At 40.6% G+C, this 12,125-nt stretch overlaps 1 protein-coding gene across 4 annotated transcripts in view; it reads right to left on the bottom strand.

Annotated features, from left to right (window-relative positions):
- The window catches only part of BMX (BMX non-receptor tyrosine kinase), a 55,713-nt gene extending 48,930 nt beyond the window's left edge, over positions 1-6,783 (bottom strand). For 3 of the 4 annotated variants that reach the window (NM_203281.3, NM_001320866.2, XM_017029752.3), the window contains exon 1: positions 6,650-6,783. The gene's annotated coding sequence lies outside the window, so the exon portion shown is untranslated. Of the gene's footprint in view, positions 1-180; positions 283-6,649 lie in introns of those variants that run through there. The other variant, NM_001721.7, reaches the window with a different exon arrangement.

Raw genomic sequence — 12,125 nt, 5'->3', positions numbered from 1 at the left:
TTACTTCAACCCTCAGTCTAATATCAGGTCTGATCATGAAAAGTAGCAATGTTGAGCAGTAGGCCAGAGAAACAAACTTTCTTATGTTCTTCTTTGCTTTGTGAAATTGCATCGTTATTTGAATTCACATGCCCAATAGTTAAAATCTTTCTTTATTGATAATCTGAAGGCTTTACTCACCTTAGACTCGCTAGAGCCGAAGTATACATGTGGGTCCTTAACTTTGACTCTCAAGCTCTAAGCAAAAAGTTACTGCTTTGAGGCACCATCACTCATATTCCCTCTGGCTATGCCAGGGTCATGCATTAAAAAGAAGATATTTGCATCCCACTCATCAGTCTTGATCAGGAAGCACCCACACAGGCATTGCTCTGTCTGCATGGAGGCGGGCGCCAAGCGAACCCATCCAATCACTAGAGGGCACTTCTCACTGGCCTGGGAGTATGATGGACCCACTATGGCAGAAGAGTGAAATGAAAGGGAGACTAAGAAATACAGCCTGGCATTGAATTAACCATGGTTGGCTCCAGCCAGCTTTCCTCCTAACATAGACCACACAACTCTCAAAGTGGAATTAAGAAAACCAGCTTTTATTATTTACTATGTAGAACAAAAGATTATTTATTAATTCCTAAAATGTCCTCCAAGGGCATTATTTGATTTTTAGACAGAAGTAGTGGAAATCTTATCCATTCAATATAATAAAGTCTTGGTTACTTTTTCCCTGGGATATTGTTTTAGCTATTTAAAAAGGATAATTCTTTCACAAAAGTATAATGGGTTTCTTCTGAGTACAATGGGTACTATTTGCCATGGTCACTGGTTTCTTTGCCCAGTGATCAAAGACAGGGCAGAGATCAGGGTAGAGTAGAGCCTATGGAGGTAAGAGTAGCATGCCTTCCTTTTATCTTTGCTTCCATTGCAAACTCTGCATATCCACCTGCCCAGATAAGCTTATTTTCTACATCCAAAGTCTGTGGCCGGAAGAGAATTTGCTCGGAGACTTATGGAAACAATGAGGGTCTACTTTTTTTGAGTGAAAGCCTCCTTTGGGGAGGCAATATCACATTGGACATGGTTGTAGGGTACTTTTGCCTTTTATATTTCCGTATTTTACTAATGAAGCAGAAGGAGAAAACTGTGAAAACTCTTGTCAATTTTTTATATCCACAGCTGAAACATCATTCCTCAAAGCAGAGTGCTAATTAAATAGATCTGATTAGTTGAATAGAAAATTTACTTTTTAATTTTTTTAGATGCTGAATTGATTTGTGACATTAACAACACTGTATTAAAAATGTAAAAATCCCAATGTCCAAGGTGCTATTCAGTCTTTCCCAGTACTATGTGCTGGTATACATATTTTTCTGTCTATAGAACTTTCACACCTAGGCAGGGCACAGTGTCTCATGCCTGTAACCCCAGCATATTGCACATTAGGAGGCTGAGGAGGGAGAATCGCTTGAGGTCAGAAGTTTGAGACCAGCCTGGGAAACATAGTGAGATCCTGTCTCTAGAAAATTTTTTTGACAAATTAGCAGACATGGTGGCATGCACCTGTAGTCCCAGCTACTAGGGAGGCTGAGGCAGGAGGATCACGCCACTGCACTCCAGCCTGGGCGATAGAGTGAGACCCTGTCTTCCAAAAAAAATTAATAATAATAAAGAAAGAAGAAGAAAAGAAAAATAAAACTTTTATGTGCATCACACTAAAGGTGAGAATTTTTGGAATTTTATATAAAAAATTAATAAGATGAGTCACAGAGACCACTGACAAATTCACAAAGTTGCCTCTGTGTATTGAAAGGAAGAACATTGAGTAAAAAGGAAGGTATTGAGCCCTCAAGCACCTTCTCCAGTAAACCTCCAAGGGTTTACAAGCGTTGTTGCATCTGATGAAATATAACTTGTGAAATTTCAACATAATTGTTCATTTCAAAATCCTGCCCTTTATACATTTTTTGCTTTCATTTTAAGATTCATATGCAATATATGTTTATTCTATAAAGCCAAGAGATACAGACAGGGAAAAGAAAAACACAGCACATCTCTAGATGTTTTTCTTTTCAAATATTTATGTACATATGCTTATTTTCTCAAAGATGGGTTCACATACTGTGCACTTGAGTCCGTAATATGTTGTTCTCGTGTAACAAACACCTGAAGCCACACGTTTTTGAGGTACCCATCCAAGAGGAACAGTCCTTCAAAGCTCCACTCCCTAAGCTGGGCTACTGAGGCTTCCTAACAGTCTTGAAGGACCCCACCTTGATGACTCAAGCTTTTTTCATTTCCAGATCAGTTTCTTCTAAGATAAACCATGTGGTTTCTGCTCAGGCTTGGGCTTGCCTTTCTCCTTCTATTTACTTCTGTCCCTTCCTTATACTTCTCCTTTCTCCTCTACATGGCCTAAATTCTAATTTGAAAACATTTCTGTGGTCTCTCTTGATATAGAAGGATAGTTGCTGATGATTAATTTTTAGAAATGCAATATCTTCCCCCCTCGTATTGTGACAATAAATAAACAGGGCTTACTGTTAAGTCAAATGCCTGTCCAACAACTAGCAAACCCTGCTCTTCTTATGCTTATTTAGGGAAAATTCAGTTGGGAAGGTGAAACAAAAAACCTTTTATAGTAAAATGAGATCCTAAACCCAGTCAGTATTAACAAGAAATCTATTTCCATAGAAGAGCTAGTGGGATCTGGGTGGACTCTCATATTACCACCCACATAGAATAGACCTATCAATTTGCTTACCAAATAGCCCAGGCTGCCTATTTCCATAAACAGATGAAACTAGAAAGTGATTAAGGCACAGAGGAGACACAAAAACCTGGCAGAAATCAATATAGTATTTCCTATAAGGAAGCCAGCAGCCATTCGTTAACCTCTTACATACATAAAAGGTGTGTGTTGAATTAACATGACTTATAATCACTATAGTTTTTTAGGATTTATAAGGAAATGATGTCATGAGAGTAAGAAGTTCAAGTCGGCAGTTCTATTTGGCATGCTTGATTTTGAGCCTACAGTGTGTCCAACATTGAGTGACTGGTTCCAGAAATAAAGATCAGCTGTCCGTGGCCCTGAGTGACAATGAACAAGTTTGAGAGATGGGCTGCATAACTAATTAATATGAAAGATTGCTGTGGGGTGGCAGACTCGGAAGGCATGGAGGAGGTTACAGAACTGTCATTTGTAAACTGTGTCACCCTGGCCAAGCCCCTTCCCTGCACTAACCTTCAGTTTTCTGATCTGTAAATTGAGATAGGTAACAACTCTCTTACTTTACGGGACTTAAATGAGAAACCTTATGGTGAAAGTATTTGGCACATTGTGGGTACCAACTATGTTTTAAAAAAGAAAAGATGGGGAAAAAAATGTAGGTGCTAGAGTAGAGTCTATTCACTTTGCTATGAAAGGTCCAAGGAAGGAAAAGTTGTTTTTTCCTTAAGGTAGCCAAGTAAGGTATTTTAGAAGGGAGCACATTGAAATTAGACTTTGAAGGATGAGAGTGATTTTATGATAATGATCCTAGCCAATGCTTAAGGAGGGCTCACTATGTGCCAGGCTGTTTAGAGTTTACTGGTCACAACTGCTCTATGGGGTAGCTCATGACACCTCCACCTTATGGGGTAGGCCAGAACACCCCCACCCTATGGGATATTTTGTGATACTCCCAGCCCATGGGATAGGTTGTGACACATTCACCCTATAGAGTAAGTTGTAACATCATTCCCTGCTTATAGCTTATGGAGCTGCAATAGATAAATAAATTGCCCAGGTCACACTGCTAGTGGGTGGAGCTAGATTTGAATCCCGGCAGTCTAACTCCACATCCCATATTCGTGACCACGCTACTAATGCTAGAGAAGGACATGCCTGCTGTGTGACCCTCCTAAACCAGAGACTGCTCTAACCTAAATACAGGAAGGCAGTCATAGGATGTCAAATCTTATAAGAAACCTAGAAGTCATTTTACAGATGTAACACTGAGCCCCAGCAGCCTAAGTGACTTAGCCAGTACTGTTAACCAGTGACCTAAGAGGCATGGCCCTGGGAGCCAGCTTCAGGTGTCATACCTGTACACCATCCACTCCATGATGGCAGTAAACAGAGTAGGAGATATCTGTGTGTTCAGCCAAACATACTACAGCTTTGCTAAGGGACATAGTTTGGTGAAACTACCCATAAATCTGAGTCTTAACAGACCAGTGCAAGAGACATTTTATTGGAAATATCAGAAAGATGTTACCTATAATCTTTCGATAGGAATCTCCTGCTGAAAGGCAGTGTTAAATAGCAAAATTTGAAACCACATTCTGAAAATAGGTAAGAACATACAACCTCAAAAGTTGGAATAAATTCTCAGTGGTACAGAAGGGGAGCAGGAAACAGGATACCAAGGGAGACAGGGTTATCTAGTTAAGTGGCCATTGGATAGTTCCCTCAACCAGGAAGTGTATTCCCTGACTGGCTCAGGGTGGTGTCTTTAAAGATTTATCTTTTAAAATTCAGAGATAAGGATAGCAATTCCTTACCCTTTGACTTGGTTTAGTTATCCTCTCTTACTTTACATGCCATATAGCTAAAGATTTTGTAGGTGTCAAGATGTTAAAATAATACATGTGGTGGGAGGGCAGTAGAGCAGGAAGGGTGGGAAAGAAAGGGAAGACGCTCCAAGTGGGGTGGGATCTGGAAGGGAAACTGGAGGGCCCTGTGACAAACTTGATCTTCAAATATTTGTCCAAATGCCAGGCCCGCTTATCTTCGTGCTAAATAACTGAACAAAATGTGATGGTAGGTTTAAACAAGAACAAAAAGTTTGACTGAGGATCAAGTAAAGTGGTTCAAAAAGTCTTAGGATGCTGGCCAAAGACAAATACTGGCTTCACAGAACCTGACAGATCCTTATTTCACATGATGTTATGCAGGAGAGGGAAAGTTAAAGTTGATCTTGGCATGATATGGACAGAAATCTTTTAACATTGACAGTCAAATTCTCAGCATCTTGGAGCATCATACCTTAATTGATCCAAAATAAGTGTATAAAAACCAGACACTTTGGGAAGATCATTTTCTCACAAAGAAGGCAAGAATCTTAATGCTAGTCTTTTTGGAGCTAAGTTTTGCTTTAGGTGTGAGATTAATCTTCAGTGCCCCATAGAGCTTTTCTAAGTCTTTTCTTCTTTTCAGTAACCTCTTTCTTTCTGCTCCCTCTCCTCTGCTTAGGGCACTCTCTCTGGGCAACTTCCTTAGGAGAAAAGCAAAAAGTAATAAATCCATGAGCTAGCATCTCATGCTGAATTAAACATGTAACACTGCTTTCATGATGCCGGTTAGTGCAAGTGAAAGCACCGAGCTGGGTTCGAATCCCTGCTCTGTCTCTATGGAATCTGTCATGTTACTTAACCCAGCTAAACCTCAGCTTCCCCATCTGTAAAGGCAGTGAAACAATAACCACTTCGAAGGGTTACAAGTAGTCAAGAGAAAATGGCAGCCTAATGCCCAACACCCTAGTAGATATTCTAAAAGCTTATGTCCCTTCTGATCACTCCATAGGCAAAGTTTTAAAAAGGACCATAAAAAGTTAAAAAACTAAAGACAGTGAAATAATAATGATCCTTAATGATAAAATTTTACTTCTCATCCCTCTGTCCCCAGCTCCTGGGTATAGGAGAAAATGGGAGGCAGGAAGACCTCCTCATGTATTGCCATGTCAACAAACACCAGTCCATACATAGTAGGTTTGTCGCAGACTTTCCATCCTGAGACGAGTTACCATAAAATGAGGTTGAACCATACCCTTATTGACTGTGTATTTGTGCCACCATATTTCCTACAAATAAATACTTGGATGTGACTCAAAGTGTGGTCCGTGCACTTGCATCATCCGGGCGATCATTAGACATGCAGACTCTCAGTTCCCACCCGAGACCTCGCGCAGCCAAATCTTCATTTTAGCAAGATCCCCAGGTGATCCACGTGCACAGGAAAGCTTGAGAAGCACTTACATGGACCACAAAGTTGCACTCCTTTTCAAATCCAATGAAATCATTGTGGCCCACAAAATCTTTCAAAATTATATGGATATGAGTACAACTGCATGGTTCACCTCCCTCCCACCTGTCTATCTCCATCTAAAATACACAAAGCACTTGATTTAGGGAGACCTCAGGAACCTAAGAGCAAATATTTGTAGCTAAAGTAACATCATAAAAACACAGTTAAAGAAGGTATAAGGAACATTTCTATGTCTCTTTGGAAGCAGTTATGAGGCCAATATGAAAGGCTATGGAAAGGCAATACCTAAAGAAGCGGATGGAGAAAATTAGCAGAGAATACACACAAAGCTAGGTAGAACTGGTGGTGATACATAAACAACCTGAGAGCTTCCCTAACTGAGATTTTGAGCAAGGAGTGAATTTACAGTGAAATTATAGCAGTTTCAGCCGTTGGCCTCCAAATTACCTGGTCCCATCTAAAGTCCCAGAGAAAGCCCTGGCAATTTCATATTAAAAATGTTGTACTATTTTTCTTAAAGTGAGCTTCCCAAAGTTTGTAACTTCAGGCCCCACAACACCGGGAACCAAACCTATTTTCCGCATAGTATGCGACACTGAGTAGCCACCTGCCGCTTAAACGCACCGTCTCAGCTTGTTCCGTGCTTGCCTGGGTCCGCCGCGGTGCTTGGTCTGCTGTTGCAGGAACACGGCCCCGGCTGTCCTGTTTCCAGAAGCAAATTGTTTCACATTTTCCTGGCTGCCGGGTCAGAAATGGCTACATTACTCAGTGCCCCCAACACGTTTATTGTCCTACAGAGCCTTACACAATCCCACAGGAAACCACGCTCAACACTTAGCCAACACTTGTTGATCTGATTGAACGCAACAAAAACGGAGACAAAAGCATACTTCATAAAGTTTCCAATTTTGATAACTATAGCTCCCACTTTTCCCAGGCAGCTCTCGGGTACATGTGATAACCCTGCCTTTGTTTGTAGAGCTCTATGCTGGAAAGGACAAGAAAATATCTCGGCAAAACCCGACTGCTGACGCTGACTTCTCTCACATGAGCCAGGAAACCATTAGGTAATGCAAAGTGCACAGAGAATATGCAATGAAAACTTCAACTCAACATTTGGACAAAGGAAGGCCAGAGAATATGTAAGAACAGTTCATATGATGGAAAAGGAGCTTATTTATATAGTTTAAGTTATTAAGAAATCCAGAAATGGAAAATAGATTGTTTTTGCTAAGGTATGGTACACCTAGATCGCAATGAAAAAGTGTGTCACTTGACATCATTATGACAGACTCACAACTTTTGGCTTCCCCCATTCCACTATTTTCTCTGGTGCATACCGGCTGGCCATCTGTAATAAATCTAAGGACATATTTTATGTCCTGCTATGGATAGCCAAGAAAAGTAATCATCCTTTTGGCATGCATTGACACACTGTGTTTACTTATAAATTGTTGCTTACTGTAACTTATTTGTAAGTATCTATGATGTGAAGAAGTCTTGGGTTGGCAGAAGAGAGTGAAGCTACTGGCTTTCAAAGAGGTATTCTTTTGAGTGTACATGGAATTAGCATCATTTCTATTAATTCGTTCAGTCAAGTCTTATTTGAGAACCTGCCATGTGCTGAGCATTCCGTTAGGGGTTGGAGACACAAGAGCAAACAGAAGAGAGGCAGCCCACATCTTCAAGGGGCTTATGTGTCTGTGTGGGGGGGGGGGGAACCACAAATAGTGGTTTAATTACAGTAGAGTATGGGAAAAATAACTTGCAGAAATATTTTTTAATATTTCAGTTTGGAAACTAGAATTTTGGGAAGGGAAAGGAGTCCTTCAGAAGAATTCAAAAGAGTGTAACTTACATTCTAATAGCAAATTAAAGTCACTGATGGATTCCAAATAGCTCTCCATTCTTTAGGAATATAGTAGGTAGTCATTCAAAAAATTAAGGGTGAAGCAGGGCAAGAGTGGCACAACAACCTGGCTAAATAAATTAATTCTACACTCTGCTAGTTAATTTCCTTTTCCACATGGCGATTTGTATTTACTTCACAACTTATATATGGTAATATGGCAAAAGTTCGATTCTAGAATAAAAAGTAAACTTAGGGTAGGGGAAGGAGGAGTTGGTGATATGGTTTGGCTGTGTCCTCACCCAAATCTCATCTTGAATTGTAGTTCCCATAATCCCCACATGTTGTGGGAGGGACCTAGTGGGAGGTAATTGAATCACGGGAGTGGATGTTTTTACCGTGCTGTCCTCATGACAGTGAATAAGTCTCACCAGATCTGATGGTTTTATAAAGGGCAGTTCCCCTGCACACGCACTCTTGCTTGCCACCAGGTAAGACATGCCTTTGTTCCTCTTTCACCTTCCACCATGATTGTGAGGCCTCCCCAGTCATATGGAACTGTGAGTCCATTAAACCTCTTTTCCTTTATAAATTACCCAGTCTTGAGTATTTCTTCATAGCAGTATGAAAATGGACTAATACAGTCGGTATAACTGTGGAAACACCTGGGCACAATCTCTTGGGATTTCCATCCCTTCTTGGGGGCATAAAACACCCAAGGACAGCTGGGAGGAGTGGTTTCCTCTAAGGCAAAATGTCACAGATTTATTTACTTTATTCTATTCATTCACTTCCTCTGCTACTTCTCCTGTTTCTTTGGCTCTGTATTTTCCATGAGTTTAGTTACATCCTAACTTTTGGCAATCTGCTATTACGATAATATGACTTCATTTACTCAAATTATACTCTGCATTGTCATCTTTACTCAGTTAGAATTTTAGGAATTTTCTCCTAAGCTTGTTCATGCAAGCCTTTAGCAGGCCACAGCTAAAGGGACATGGCATGGGATAATTTGACTTCATGATGTGAACAAGCCTGTTTACTTGTGCTTACATTTTTAAAATAAAAAAGAACCTGGTAGAATCCATTGTCAGAGAGAGAGAGAGAGAAAGGGGGAAGGAGAGAGAGAGAGAGAGAGGGAGAGAGAGAGAGAGAGAGAGAGAGAGAGAGAGAGAGAGAGGAAGAAAGAAAATGAGATAATCAGAGTCCTTCTGGCTTGTGGCTGACCTGTATTTTTCTCTCACTTTAGAAAATTCACTTGACTCATGGCTTTAAACACCATCTATATGCTTATGACAGCCAGGACCTCTTCCCTGAATTCCAAACTTATGTTTGACTGTCAACTTGTCCATCTGTACTTGGGATATCTGATATATATGTCAAAACTTGTCCAAAGCTGACCTCCTGATTCACACCCACCCCCCCACCCCCAAAACTAGTTTTTCCTACAGTCTTCCTCTTCTCAGCTAATAGGAACTCTCCCCCTCCAGTTGCTCTGGCTAAAGAATATGGAGTCATCCTTAATTTTTACCCTTCTCTTGCACCAAACGTTCAATCCTTCATGAAATAAGGTTAGCACTAGCCGCAAATGTACCCCCGTTTGGCCACTTTTCAATACCTCTACTGCCACCTACTGGTCTGAGTTGCCACCACCCCCAGGGGGAATATTGTACTAGTCTCCTGACTGTTCTCCTTCTTCCACTCTTGCCCCTGCAGTCTATTCTCCACTGAGTGGCCAGAGTGATTCTTTAAATGTAAGTCACATCTTAGCACTTCTCCAGTCTGAACTCTTCGCTTGTCCCCCCTGTTCTGGTCCCCTAGGACTGTCTCTAACATCATCACATGATTATTCTACTTCATCTTACCACTCCTGAAACTGGCATCTTTTCTACTCCTCCAATATTCTGAGCAACATCTGCTCCAGGGCCATTGCATTGGCAGTATCCTCTGCTTGGCAAACTGTCCCAGATATCTGACTGGCTCGTGTCCTCATTTCCAGGTTCTGCTTCTAATGGCATCTTCCTAATAGCCCTACGCAGACCACCCTGTTTAATATCACAGCCTCACCCTCCACCCAGCACTCCAATCTCCCTTACTCTGCTCTGTGTTTTCTTTCTTCTACAGGACTCATCACCTTATAGCATAATACATAATTTAATTATTTATTACCTTTATTATTTGTCTCTCCTCACTAAAGAGTAAGACCACAAGGGCTCCAACAGCTTATCTCTGCAGTTTGAACTTTGTTCATGGGTATCTCTTCTTTGGGGACGTCACTCCATTACCTCCTGCATGTATTCCTTCTGGTGCTAAAATAATCTGCTTGTAAGTTGGGATCAGATGTGAATTATTCACACTTACTAGAATTGAAGATTAACATGTCACCTCTCCTAAGGGTGCTTGCATATCAAACCTCAGGTTCAGTGCCGGAACAAACTGCCCTGTTTTTAATGAAAGGAAATGGGTGAGTAGGAGGTGGAGGTAGACACAAAAATGTTTGTTGTTTCCTTTTGTTATCAGCCATGTCCTGTCCTGTCACCCATGAAACCTTTACATAGACTGTTGGCATTTTGTCAATCTTACTCCTGTTTTTCTAGTCGGAGGTAAGTATTTGTGGTCTACATGGAGTTGGCGAACTATGAGCCCCATGAGTTTTTGTGAATAAAATTTATTGGAACACAGCCACTATTCCTGCCCCACGGCCTTTGCATTGATGGTATCCTCTACTTGGCAAACTGTCAAGTGTTGTCTATGTCTGCTTTCAGTCTACAACGGCAGAGTTGAATAGTTGAGACAGAGACTGTATGCTCACAAAGTCTCAAATACTTACTATCTGGCCTTCACAGAAATAAATCACCAACTCATACTCTGGAAGCATCCTGCCAGCTTTGGAAGTGATCTTGCAGCTTGGAATTTAGTTTAACAGCTCCATTCAACAGAGAGTCACTTCATTTACTGTGTACAAGGTGCTAGAGTTGGAAGCAAAGAAAGTAGACAAAGGGGTATAACATTTTGGAATCCTTCTAGTTCTGATTCCCACTGTGACTCAAATTATTTTTTTCCTAAGATTGTATCATGAAACATTTCAAAATATAGAAAAGTTAAAAAAAGTTAAAGCACCAATACACCACCATCTGGATTCTACAATTGACATTTTGCTGTATTTGCTTTGTCATATATCAATCCGTTTATCCATCTCTCTATTCATCCATTAATTCACTTTGTTGTCATTCCTATTATTATTGCTGCTATTGTTATTTTTTGGTGCATTCAAAGTAAGTTGCGGACATCAGTACACTTAATCCATAAACACTAGTTAATGTACATAACATTAACTAGAGGTTGTTAGTTATTCAAATTATTTTTTAATTTTTACTCCAATACTGTGATCTAGAAAGCGGCCTCCATTCAGCCAGAAGACAAAACTTTACAAAAGCTGAAAACTGAGAAAGGTTATCAGGGTAATTGAGGTAAGTATCAGGGGAATCATTCATCTAAATTTCTCCAGTTTCCTGGTTCAGAGATGAATTGGCCTTTCAGGCCTGAGAGTATTTTGCTTGTGATGGATTCTAGAAAGTTCTGTGGCTCAAAGGAAAGGGTCATAAGCTATTTTTTTTTCGGAGAACTGCCAAAAACCCAAGGGAAAGATAGAGAAAAACACAATTATGAGTTTCATGCAACAGCTGATCACATGTAGCTTCTTGGTCAGAGCACTGGTCGATGGAACAGACCGTGTCTGTGCAGAATGCTCTCATGAGGGTGGATATGGGAGTCACATGTGCTCATCTTTTCTGGATATCTTTGGATGTCTTTAACCACCCAGTGTATTTATGGCCTTCGTAAACTAGCATTTATAAAATAATCAGTCCTTGACTTGGAGCCAATTGATTTCCTGGGTTCAGTGAGTCTGAGTCTTTATAATATGGAATATTTCAGAGACATTTGTCATCTAATGAATAGCAGCTACACTGCCCTGAAGGGCAAATTAACAAAATCTACAAGAAAGAATTTTTGAGTTGATGGCTTGAAGAAGAAAGAAACAAAAATAAGGAAGTGTTTCAGATGTCCATGTACTTTTTTTTTTTTTTTTTTAATTTTTGAGACTGAGTTTCACTCTTGTTGCCCAGGCTGGAGTGCAATGGCACGACCTCGGCTCACGGCAACCTCCGTCTCCTGGGTTCAAGCAATTCTCCTGCCTCAGTCTCCCGAGTAGCTGGGATTAGAGGCATGCGCCCCCACGCCTGGCTAATT

This window comes from Homo sapiens, chromosome X (assembly GCF_000001405.40).
Source record: "Homo sapiens chromosome X, GRCh38.p14 Primary Assembly".
NCBI classification, from domain to species: domain Eukaryota; kingdom Metazoa; phylum Chordata; class Mammalia; order Primates; family Hominidae; genus Homo; species Homo sapiens.
This window is presented reverse-complemented; position numbering and strand designations above follow the sequence as displayed.